At 36.6% G+C, this 13652-nt stretch overlaps 1 protein-coding gene across 12 annotated transcripts in view; it reads right to left on the reverse strand.

The window, feature by feature from the left end:
• MAGI2 (membrane associated guanylate kinase, WW and PDZ domain containing 2) overlaps positions 1-13652 on the reverse strand; it is a 1436613-nt gene that overhangs the window by 1076850 nt on the left and 346111 nt on the right. The gene's annotated exons all lie outside the window — the stretch shown is intronic.

Genomic DNA, 13652 nt, shown 5'->3' on the forward strand with positions numbered 1-13652 from the left:
AGGTTTCACCAAGTTGGCCAGGATGGTCTCAAACTCCTGACCTCAGGTGACCCGCCTGCCTCAGCCTCCCAAAGTGCTGGAGTTACAGGTGTGAGCCACCTCACCTGGCCCAGCAATTTCTTAAAATAAGAAACAAATTTAGCATATCAATGGACTCTTTCTTTCACAAGATTTCTCTGTAGCATGTGATGAAATTTGATAGTTCCCACAGAACTTCTTTCAAAATTGAAGTAAATCCTTTCAAACCCTGCTGCTGCTTTATCAACTAAGTTTTTGAAATATTCTAAATCCTTTGCTGTCATTTCAAAAATGTTCACAGCATCTTCAGCAGTAGAATCCATCTCAAGAAGCCACTTTCTTTGCTTTTCAATAAGAAGCAACTCTTCCTTCATTGAAGTTTTATCATGAGATTGCAGCAAGCAGTCACATCTTCAGTCTCCACTTCTAATTCTAGTTATTTTGCTATTTCTACCCCATTTGCAGTTATTTATTTCACTGAAGTCTTAAACCATTCAAAGCCATCCATGAGGGTTGGAATCAACTTCTTCTGAACTGTTAATGTCAATATTTGGAGCTCCTCCCATGAATTATGAATGTTGTTAATAACATTTAGAGTGGTGAAACCTCTCCAGAAGGTTTTCAATTTACTTTGCCCAGGTCCATTAATGGAAACAGTGTCTATGGAAGCTATAGCCTTATGAGATGTATTTCTTAAATAACAAGATGTGGAAGTTAATATTACTCCTTGATCCATGGGCTACAGAATAGATGTTATGTTAGCTGGCATGAAAACCCATTAATCTCCTTGTACATCTCTACAAGAGGTTTTGGGTGACAAGGTGTATTGTCAATGAGCAATAATATTTTGAAAGGAATCTTTTTCTGAACAGTGGGTCTCAACAGTGGGCTTCAAATATTCAGTACCCATGTTGTAAACAGGTGTGTTGTCATCTAGGCTTTGTTTTTCAATTTATGGAACATGGGTAGAATAGATTTAGCATGATTCTTAAGGGCCCCAGAATTTTTGGAATGGCAGATGAGCACTAGCTTCAATTTGAAGTCATCAGCTGCATTAGCCCCTAATAAGACAGTCAGTCTGGCCTTAGAATCTTTGAAGCCAGGCATTGAATTCCCTCTAGATAGGAAAGTCCTAGACGGCATCCTGTTCAAATAGAAAGCTATTTTGCCTACATTAAAAATCTGTTGTTTGGGTAGCTACCCTCATCAATTATCTTAGCTAGATCTTCTGGATAGCCTCTGCGAACTTCCAACTTTTCATCTGCAGCTTCCTTACCTCTCTCAGCCTTCATAGAATTGAAGAGAGTTAGGGTTTGCTCTGGATTAACCTTTGACACAAGACAGTGCGGTGGCTTGTTTGACAATCTGTCCAGATCATTCCAAATTTCTCTATATCAGCAATAAGGTTGTGTTGCTTTATCATTCCTATGTTCACTGGAGTCGCACTTTTAATTAGCTTCAATAACTTTTCCTTTGCATCCACAACTTGGCTAACTGTTTGATGCAAGCGGACTAGCTTTTGGCCTACCTTGGCTTTTGACAAGCCTTCCTCACTAAGCCTAATCATTTCTAGTTTTTGATTTAAAGTAAGAGACATGTGACTCTTCCTTTCACTTGAAAATTACAGGCTATTGTAGGCTTACTTATTGGCCTAGTTTCAATATTATTGTGTCTCAGGGACTAGGAGGGCCCAACAAGAGTGAGATAAAGATGGAGAAGAGCCAGTCTGTGGAACAGTCAGAACACACAACATTTATTGATTAAATTTACCATCTTTATATGACTGTGGTTTGTGGCACTCCAAAACAATTACAACAGTAACACCAAAGGTTACTGATAATAGATCATCATAATCGATATGAAAATAATAAAAAAGTTTGAAATATTGTGATAATTACCAAAATGTGACACAGAGACATGAAGTGAGTGAGCACATGCTGTTGGAAAAATGGCACTAATAATTTTGCTCAAGGCAGGGTTGCCACAAACCTTCAATCTGTAAAAACGACAGTATCTGGGAAGTGCAACAGAGTTAACTACAATAAAATAAGGCATGATTGTACCTTTTCAGGATGTTGAAAAGGTCCAGAGCAGGGGGCAGGGCTGTGCCTGAGGATGGAAGTGTGCTATTTATGCACTGAGGCCTCCCCATAACCATTATCCTTTTCCTGGCCCTGCACTGTGCTGTAGGAGCCTGACCTCTGAATATGGTGTTGCTGGGAGGCATTGCTGGGAAGCATTGCTGGGATTCTCGTGTCCTGTAGCTTCAATTAAATTAGACCAATGGGAAGTAGGCAATGAGAATGAGGGAAGAAAGAGGTCAGGGTAGTTATTCCCCAGTGCCCTCCCAGTAAGAAGGAAGTTTTGGCAGTAGGTGTGTTCTTCTACCTATAGCCACAAATCCAGCCAAGAAGCCACACTACGATGACCATTCCTAGCTCTGCTCCCTGCCATGCCCCTTCAAGTGCCTTGTGTACAGCTTCCTTCTATTGCTAGTCCCTGGGTGCATCACCAGCCTGAGTTCATTGTCATATGCACACATCATGGCCTAATCCTGCCTACAACTTTACAAAGAGCATTTCCTTCTTTTAACTCTAAATTACTCCTTTGGGTGCATCATCTGCTTCCTCTGAAGTTCTGATGAATACACAGAACAAACATTTAGACCTGCCAATGTTATAATGTTTTCAAGAATTTAAAACCTTCAAGATCCTGATAGTATCTAATATTCATGTGATTCATGCCTTCCTTAAAAACGAGAATGAGTTACTATTAATATGATTCATCAAAATCATTTTACCTCTAAAAAACCCTAAATAAACACAGCAACTCAACTGTATCTATGCATCACTTCTGCTACCCCTTCCTCCAGAGTCCCAAGTTTACTACACTAGCAACCAAAATTGCTTTAGAATTCCCTGACAGCCAGAAACTCCAGATGATCCCAAACTAGGGAGAACATAATTCTCTAAAAGAGACTTATTAATTAAGGGTAAAATATTGCTGTGAATTTTCTGTAAATGTTATTCGTTATCTCCCCAATGATCCTCCCAAGGTAGTAAGATTTCTTTTTGTCTGATAGTCACTAAATAAAGGCCATAAAATGACAAAGTAATCTAAAACATAAAAATGTGTTATTATTAGTATATTTAAAATTACACTTATTATTATTAGCTAATCCTCACTGAAGGCTTTCAATATGCCAGTTACTGTTTTCTATGAATTGATTCAGTGAATCCTCAAAGTCTCCTTATGATATAGGTATTACAGTTATCCCTATTATACAGATGAGGAAACTGAGACATAGACATATCAAGTAATATGCCCAAAGTCACAATTCAGTACAAAGAGAAACTGGCACATTTATTTCTCAGTTGTTTCCTTATCATAAAACAGAAAATATCATTGAAATTTGTACAATTTAAAGTAATGCCTACATTTACTGTGCCATTTTTTGCTGTTACTGAAACCAACAGAGCTGGTGCTATAATGGGGGATCTGTTATGTTGAGATGTGGATCAGAATGAGAAAGCTTCCTGCTGGAGGATCACATAAATCCACAGAGTTAGGACAGGCAGCCAAGAAAAAGGCAGAGAGTGGGGAACCCAGGAAGACTCTCACCCACAAGGCAGAGATAGAACCTCAGGGGTACTAAATCAAAGCAGATAACAGAGGCTAAGAGAAATAAGGTGTATCTACTGAAAGGGCTGTGGTGAAGGCCAAGAGAAGTACTGCATATAGGAAAAACCTGCACCAGTAATCACTTAGTAAAAACTCTCAATTTCTAACTAGTTGCAGGGATGCCTAAAATCCACACTATGATGTATTATGTTTTCCAGGTTTGGGACATTTTATCTACATAAGCAGAAATGTTACATGACCACTTTCAGAAAAATTCCTTAAAAATAGCTGATGTGGGCCAGGCGTGGTGGCTTATGCATGTAATCCCAGCACCTTGGGAGGCAGAGGTGGGCAGATCACTTGAGGTCAGGAGTTCGAGACCAGCCTGACCAACATTGTGAAACCCCATCTCTACCAAAAATACAAAACTTAGCCGGACATGGTGGCACACGCCTGTACTCCCAGCTACTTGGGAGGCTGAGGCATGAGAATCACTTGAATCCGGGAGGCGGAGGCTGCAGTGAGCCAAGATGGCACCTCTGCACTCCAGCCTGGGTGACAGAGAGAGACCCTGTTTCAAAAAAAAATAGCAGATGCGCAATTTTTATTCTTTCCTTCCTCCTTCCTGCAGTCTGGAATGTGTGTGTAATAGTTGGAGCTTAAGCAGCTTCCTTGGACCACACGTTGGGAGGACTTTGCTGAAGGTAAATGGGGAAAGGAGCCAGTTTTCCTGGTATCTTAGTGGTAGCCCTATCAGCCCTGAACTGCTCCTCTCACATGGGAGATAATTGTATTTACAATACTGTTATTTTACATTTCCTGTCATTTATAGTCGATCTCATAGTCCTAACTGGTACAATGCATACAGCACTTAACACATTGACACTACCCATAGTATGCTACATTAATGTTAGCTCTTATTATTTTGCCATTATTAGGGCTGAGATAAAAAGCATTCATAAAAGCTCAGTTTTGCCAGTGGAGTGTGTGAGTTTGGATAACATGAGAAGAAAACTTCGGAGTGCTGAGGAGCTGGTTAGGCTACTTAAATAGACCTTTACTTAGGACTGCAATACTAATCTTTGTTCCTGTCTAAATCTTTGCAATTAATTTTTGTATATTGTTCCAAATGCTGTCAAGAATGCTTGGGCCAGTCAAAAAACATCTAAGCAATATATTTGACATACACCATAATTAAGATTTCTCAAAAATCTGTCTGGCAGCCAGAGCCCTGTCTGTGTTTGAGACATGAAATAAATGGACCCATAACCTTAGGGTGTTCCCAGGAGAGGAGAGAGAAAGGGGAGGGTTATTGTTCTCCCACAGTTATGCACAATGTTGTGAACAAACAAGGAATGCGCAAAGTTGCTGGCTTCTAATAACCATTTGTTTATATTTTCACTTCACATTTCACATTTTCAGTATAAAATGTAAGAGAACATATTTTTAAAAAGACCTTTACTTTTGAGCCTCCAGAGGGTAATGTCAGCATGCCAGACGTGTCTATGAAAGGAGACTTTAGGGAATGGTTAGACTGAAATAATGATTTGAACATTAAATAAATTTAAATTCAAGCTTTCCCTTTAGCGATTTCAGTTATTTAAAAGTTAAAATTAGTGCTATTTTATGGAAAATAGTTTCAAAAATCTGAGTTCCAGAGAGTACATTAAGTTCAATTTCAGGATGAGAGCAAAGTACAATGACTTATCTATTATCCAAAAGAATACAAATATTGAGTATCATACAAAGTTCTAGGATTAAAAAAACAAAGAAATGAAATAAAAAACACCAAAGGGAAATTATTAGAGATCTTAAATTCACCTATAAGATTTTATTCATTAGTCTAGAAGTAATAACATCAAATTCCACTGAAATTTAATATTTTCAGTAACTTTTCAAATTTTATTGTTATTACATTATTTTAATTTTTTATTTTTAACTTTTATTTTAGCTTCAGGGGTACACATGAAGGTCTGTTATATAGGTAAATTGCTTGTCATAAGGGATGGATGTACAGATTATTTCACCACTCAGGTAATAAACATAGTACCCAATGGGTAGTTTTTTCTTCTCACCCTCCTCTCTCCCTTCACCCTTAAGTAGGTCCCATTGTCTATTTTTCCCCTCTTTTTTCCATGTGTACTTAATGTTTAGCTCCCACTTATAAGTGAGAATATGCAGTATTTGCTTTCCTGTTCCCGTGTTAGTTCGCTTAGGATAATGGCCTCCAGCTCCATCCATGTTGATGCAAAGGATGTGATCTTGTCCTTTTTTTTGGCTGCATAGCATTCCATACCATAACTTTTAAAATTCTTTATCAAATGGTAATATATGTTCATTTTGGAGAACTTAGAAACTATTGTTTAGCCAAACAAAGAAAGATCACGAATTAGCTATTATAAATAATTGTGTATATGTCCTTCTACACTTTTCTCTTTGCATATATGTGTGTGAACATTTTTTAGAAGAATCTTATAGTGTATGTGCTGTTTTTCTCTGTTTTGTAATTGATCCTTCTCCTAAAACATCACTTTGAATGACTGCATATTATTCCATTTTATGCTTGTATCACAACTTATTTAAACCCTTTTGTTATAAATTAAAGTTGCTACTTTTTTTTAGGTTTATCTGTGCTTCTTTATTATTATTTTAGTATTAGCCATAGAAGTAGAATGGTGTGGTCAAAGACAATGCAAAATCCTAAGCATCTGATTAGCATAACCAAACTGCCTACATAAATATGCCTACTAACATCAGGCCAGTAGTATGAGAGAATGTCTGTTTCATTCCACTTTCCAAACACTGATATATCTGTGATAGACAGACAAAGAGGTAGGAAAAAATAGACATATATATATTTTAGCCAATATAATAGTGAAAAATATGTCATTGTTTCCATTCATATTTTTTAGATTTTTCAATCAGGTTAATGTACATTATATAATATATAAATATAATTTTCTTAGCCATTTCTATTTTGTAACGTGTATATCTCTTTATTCATTTTCTACTTTTTAAAACCTTAAAATTGATTCATAACAGTGATTTATGTATCAATAATATGCTAGAATATTTTTTCCTGATTATGGTTTAAGTTAAAATTTTTTAAAAAATTATGTATATTATATTATTTGTAAGTTTACTTTTCTTTGTAATTAAATATATAGCTATTTTTCTTTTGAGCTGTTCATGTTAATTTAAGAATGCTATTTCCATTGACTTTATAGTCATAGGTATTTTTTCTAACTTTTAGTGTCTTAGTTATTTCCAAAATATTTTAATCCATTAAATTTTATTCTGTCTATGGTAAGAGGAGGTAAAAATCTACCTTTATTTCATTAAAATAAAAGATTATCCAGTTGTTTCAGTAACACTTTTCCAATGCCTCATCTTTTTCCTACTGAGATAAAAATGCCATTTTATCATATATTAATTATGTTACATTGATTTTATGTCTAACCCTGCAACCACAGTTTTAATGGGGGTTATTGGGGCTTTAGAATATAGTTAATATCTGACAAAGCAAAAGCTCTTTCATTAATTTTACATTATTTTAATTAATATTTTTCTTTACAAAAACATTATACTTATTTTTCAAATTTAGAAAATGAATATAAGTAAAATAAAATGAAATAACTACCACCTAGAGATAACTATGGTTAAAACTCAAGTATATGCCTTACCAGTGATTTGTCAATGCAAAGGTACTTATCCTACCTGATTTACATTTAACATAATCAGTTACTTACTGAACATCATTATATTAAGCTTGAAGACCAGAACTAGGTGGGCTGTGCAGCTGGTTGCTTTGTTTATCCTGACTATGTGATATCACAGTGATAAAAGTAAGAAGGGCTCTACTAAAGTTAATGCTGATGGTTTTAGAAAAAGGAAAATGGGGCCGGGCGCAGTGTCTCAGGCCTGTAATTCCAGCACTTTGGGAGGCCGAGGTGGGCGGATCACGAGGTCAGGAGATCGAGACCATTCTGGCTAACACGGTGAAACCCCGTCTCCACTAAAAATACAAAAAATTAGGCAGGCGTGGTGGCGGGCGCCCGTAGTCCCAGCTACTCGGGAGGCTGAGGCAGGAGAATGGCGGGAACCCGGGAGGTGGAGCTTGTAGTGAGCCGAGATCGCGCCACCGCACTCCAGCAGGTGCTACAGAGCAAGACTCTGTCACAAAAAAAAAAAAAAAAAGAAAAAAGAAAAAGGAAAATGGACTAATGTTAAACACAGGCTGAATCTGCTCAATGTTTAGTTTTATTCCCAGCCAAACACTTAATAGCTATTTAAAATTCACTTTTATTATCAAAATTCTGTCTATAACATATATATCATATATTTCATAATTTATATCATACATTTTCAGAAACATATACACCATATATTTTAGGAAATATATGATATATATTTCTTATCACAGTAGACTATGGCATGTGTTTTTGCTTTATACCTTACATTTGTTCATACAAAAATCTATCTTAAACACAGGTATATGACATAAATATTTTCTACAACATGATTGTAGAAATTATACAAATTTTAATGACTTCATTTTATTTTGTTTTGTTTTATTTTATTTATTTTTTATTTTACTTTAAGTTCTGGGATACATGTGCAGAACGTACAGGTTTGTTACATAGGTATATGTGCCATGGTGGTTTGCACGTATGCCCCAAAATTCATTTAATCATTTGATTTTTTTTACTTTCAGATGTTGCCAACTTTTTTTGCTCTTAAAAATAAGATCACAATTAATATACCTAAGCTAAATCTCCGCATATATATTTGATTGCTTCCTTAAAAGAATGGATCTTTAGCTGCTGCCTAAATCAAACGGTAAGCAAATTCTAGATCTTTTATTTCACTAAGCTCAGTTACACTTTCTTTCCTTCCATCTCTTTCTTACCAAAATCCATAACACTTTGCCTGCCTTTATTCCTCCTGCTGAACTTTAGCATCATTTAGAGAATTGTAACAATTACCTAGTAGATGTTTTGATTAAAATCATGTTAAATTTATTAGTTCATTAAGAAAGAGCTTATTTCTATAAATTTTGCCTTTCTACCCAAAAAGTATCTTCCTCACCCACCCAAAGGCACTATATTCTAGTGACATTTTAAAAACCTGATCATTTGTAAGTAGGGTGGAACATGAATATTCAGTCAATTTAAAGACATTTTAGTTGATTTAATTACTTTAGAAAGAAAGAGAGAAAAGGATATTGCGATGATCTTTTGATGTGTCGGCTTGGCTAGGCTACAGTCCCATTATTCAGTCAAATACTAATCTAGGTGTTGCTGCGAAGATAGTTTGCAGATGTAATTAAAGTCTATAATCAGTTGATTTTTAAGTAAGGGAGGTGATCCCATATAATCTGGGTGTTCTGATTCAATCAGTTGAAGGGCCTTTTAAGCAGGGTTGAGGCTTCCCTGTGGGCAGCAGTTTCAGTCCACGCCTGAGAGGCCCAGTCTGCCCTTCTTGTCCTGCCACATAGACATCAGGCTTGCCTTCCCAGGCCCCACAATCTCTTAAATTGATTCCTTACAATCAAGCTCTTAAACTACATACCTCCTACTGATTCTGTTTCTTTTGTTGAATCCTGACACACAGAAAAAGATTTACTTTTTAGAACTTAGAAAATATCCATAATCCAAGACAATTAAGCCAATTTAAAATATTAGTCTGGCATTTAAAAATGAAGAAGCACTTTTGTGAGACTCTTATCCAACTAGAGGCATCTCTTTCACCTGAGTTCCTGTCCTAGCCTGCTCCCTGTTTTTTATACTGTTCTTTCATTCTTGTAGCACACTTCCTCCAGGGTAATCCATACACTGGGCTTTCCACTGAGCTCTGGGGTGTACAGATGAGTAAAGCATAGGGTTGATTGTACAGAAGCCACAGACTAATAGGAGCAAACTGAAATATGAACAGATAAATTTTAATCCAGCATAATAATAAAAATTATTATTGAAAAAGGGGTCATAAGGTGATGAAGATACATATAGATTTTAAGAACAGGCAAACTTAGTTCTTAGTGTTAGAAATTAGGAATGTGGTTATATTTATAAAAACAGAGAGGACAGTGACTGCAAAGAGGCACACCAGGACTTTCTAGAAAGCTGGCAGCATTTTATTTATTTATTTATTTATTTTTTATTTTTTATTTTTTTTGAGACAGAGTCTCAGTCTGTCGCCCAGCCTGGAGTGCAGTGGCGCAATCTTGGCTCACTGCAAGCTCCGCCTCCCGGGTTCACGCCATTCTACTGCCTCAGCCTCCCGAGTAGCTGGGACTACAGGCGCCCGCCACCACACCTGGCTAATTTTTTTTATATTTTTAGTAGAGACGGGGTTTCACCACGTTAGCCAGGATGGTCTCGATCTCCTGACCTCATGATCCACCCACCTCGGCCTCCTAAGGTGCTGGGATTACAGGCCTGAGCCACTGCACCAGCATTTTATTTCTTGATTAAGTGGTGGCTACATGGTTGTATTCACTTTGTTATAGTTCATCAAGCTGTGCACTTAAGATTTTAGTTCATATTGTGTATGTGTGTTATAAGTGAACAAAGGGATTTTTTTCATAAAGCAAAACCATTCTAAACAACAAAATGTAAGTAATCACACCTCAAGTAAGGAGCCCCCTGTCATACTTAAGCCAAATTAAATACTTCTTCCTTCAGAGCATCAGCCACTGTTCTAGAATTATGTGCTAACATTCTGGGGTCTGTGGCTAGACTGTGAGCTTCGGAGGGATGGGGACCATATCTCATTTAATTCTCTAGTGCTTCAAACATGACATGGAAAATGATTACTTATTGTTTAAATAAAAAACAATTTTTAGGCCGGGCGCCGTGGCTCTTACCTGTAATCCCAGCACTTTGGGAGGCAAACGCAGGCAGATCATGAGGTCAAGAGATCGAGACCATCCTAGCAAACATGGTAAAGCCCCATCTCTACTAAAAATACAAAAATTAGCTGGGCGTGGTGGGACGCGCCTGTAGTCCCAGCTACTCAGGAGGCTGAGGCAGGAGAATCGCTTGAACCTGGGAGGTGGAGGTTGCAGTGAGCAGAGAACGTGCCACCGCACTTTAGCCTGGCAACAGAGCGAGACTCCATCTCAAAAATAAATAAATAAATAAATAACAATGTTTAAAATACAAAAAGAAAAGAAAAGAAAAAAAGGCTAGGGAATAACCAAGCAGCCATGAGGTTATGAGAGAATGAGGAAAGGACCTTCTCCTGTTTCTTTGGTGAGGTTCATTGCAATCTCAAAAAAAGACTACTATTCCTAAACCTGTCAGTGACACTGCTGGGTGTCTACCAGAAGCTCTCACGCCTGTTTGGTAAGCACAGCTAAACATACAAAGTTTTATCCTGTACCACTATATCCTACCTCCTGTCTTTTAAATCCTTGAAGGATTTTCATTCATTGGTGAACTTCTTTATGCAAATATTCCTCTTTGGAAAATTCTATTCATTGTTGTTGAAAAATAAACAACATGTTTTGCTCTCCACTGATTTCTGCATGTCAAGCATCAAGTGTGAGTGACAGGTTTTAGATTTAACAAATCGTTCTGAGTGCATCAGCCTTTGCTGCAGTTATGCGAGTTTCATATTCATCACACATCTCCAAAATACTTCCCTGCTTAGTAAAACACTCTGAGGTATAGTATATGAAAAGCACTATATAATCCCCAGCAGAGTGCAGAATGAAAAATCCTGTATTTAAAGATTAATGATTCTTTTAGCTGCACAACTGACTTATGGAACTGTCTATTTTTTAAGTATGGAGCTATGACTGAGATGCTTATATTAAACAGATAGAAAAGGTCTTAACTGAGATCGCTACTGAGCAGGAAAAGCATCCAGTTTCCTGCTCAGTAGCGATTTACTTGCACCATATAGGACTTGGAATCATGAATTCTAATGAGAACAAATTCACATCTGGTCAAATCTCAATTATCTGAATGTGGCTTATCCACTCTGCTGAGTATCTATAGAAGCACAAAATTTAAACTGTTATTTTCTCTGCCATCCTACTTGCTTCTCAGCTGCCTCTGTCCTACCACCAGCTGTTATACAGTTAGGAATTAAAAATAATCTTAATGTTAGCATAACCAAAATGTTAACTATCACAGAGCAAAATTCATATATAATGCAACAAACCCGACTAACCATTTTTTTTAGACTATCTAGGACTGGTTTTCTCCATTGTAGTTGACTATTGAGATTTAACCATATCTCTAAGTCTAGTTCTTATCTTCAAAATACTGCAATGTTCACCTGGTTTTTTTTTTCAACATTAAAAACTTGCATTAAGCAGACTTTCAGAGTCACAGGTGGCTTAAACACATTAATAAATCCATGTTTTTCTCAAAATAAGTTTTGTATATGACTCACACACAAAATTTACAAGAAGGAAAACAAAACAAAACAAAAATTCAGACTTTTAGCATTATAACAAAAACTATGCTGGAATGTGCCTGTTGAAAGGAAACCACTGTGGGTAATTTATTAGGAAAAACAATTGGAGTCTAATATAGCATGAATCTCAGCCAAAAATTTAGGAATTATATACAGGAACTAACTATTGATACATGCAGCAAATTGGATGAATCTCAAATGTATTATGCCAAGTGAAAGAAGCCAGACTCAAAAGGCTATACACTGTCTGATTACATTTATTGTGACATTCTGGAAAGAGAAGGACAATAGAGATAAGGAACAAATCAGTGTTTGCCAGGATTAGGGCTGGGAATAAAAATTGATTGCAAAGATGAAGCATGAAGGAATTTTTGTGCATGTATGTTTGTGATGGAAAGGTAACAGGATTGTCATTGTGGTTACAGTATTTTATGCATTTTTCAAACTTATGAAACTGTATACCAAAAAGGGTAAATTTTATATAAATTTTAAAATAAAATGTTAAAGTTTGTGATTGAATCAGGAAGAAAAATATGATAAAATATTATTATCACAACGAAATCACTCAAAAGTTCAGCTCAGTCAAATCATATTGTTGAATGGAAACAATTCCTACTAAGAGTCTTACAAACAGTAGCAATCCCAACAGTCCCTGAAACAATTCTAAACTTAGTCAAATATAGATGTGAGCACAGGAAGATAATTTCTATACACTGAGCTATGTCAAGTATATTTTCTCAACCAGGTGAAAATAAATACATCCCAAATAAACTCAAGTGTTCTCTAAGTGTTTAAGAAAGAAATATCACTGTTCTTGCTTATGCCATGTCTACACTTTTTGGTTTCATGTAATCTCTGATCTCTTTCTTTCTAGCTTCATACTCTTCTAGACTTCCACTTAAGAAGAGCGAATCAATATATCTTCTATCATGTCTGAAATCTTAGTTCCCAAGTTTTATGCCTCTGTACCAGCATTTCTCAAAATGTGGTCCAAAGCAGAGAAATTAGAGTAATTTACTCTGGTAGACCAAATAATGGCTCTTCAAAGAGATTAATGTCCTGATTCCCTGGAACCCATGAATAGGTTCCATTATTTGGCAAAAGGTATTTTGCAGATGTAACTAGGGTTACAGATCCCAAAATAAAGAGATTAGCCTCAAATATCCAGGTGGGCCCAGTCTAACCACATGAATAAGTGGAGAGCTTTCTCCAGGTAAGAGCAGGATAGTTGAGGTAGAAGTCAAAGAGATAGGAAGCATGAAATGAACTCAAATCTCCATTGCTGGCTTTGAAGAAGAAGGAGGCCATGAGCCAAGAAATGAAAGATGCTTCTAGCCTCTAAGAATGACCTCCAGCCAACAGCCAGCAAGGAAACATAGACTTGGTCCTATAGACACATGGAAGTGAATTCTGCAAATGACCTGAATGAACCTGAAAGTGGATTCTCCCCTAGAAGCCCCAGAGAGGATCCCAGGTGGTAGGCATCTTAATCTCAGTCTTGTGACATTCTAAGCAAAAGAATCAGTTGAGGAGATAGATCTGTGATGCACAAAAATTATGAGATAATAAATTTGTGTTGTTGAAAA

The sequence above is a fragment of the Homo sapiens genome, chromosome 7 (genome assembly GCF_000001405.40).
Source record: "Homo sapiens chromosome 7, GRCh38.p14 Primary Assembly".
NCBI lineage: Eukaryota > Metazoa > Chordata > Mammalia > Primates > Hominidae > Homo > Homo sapiens.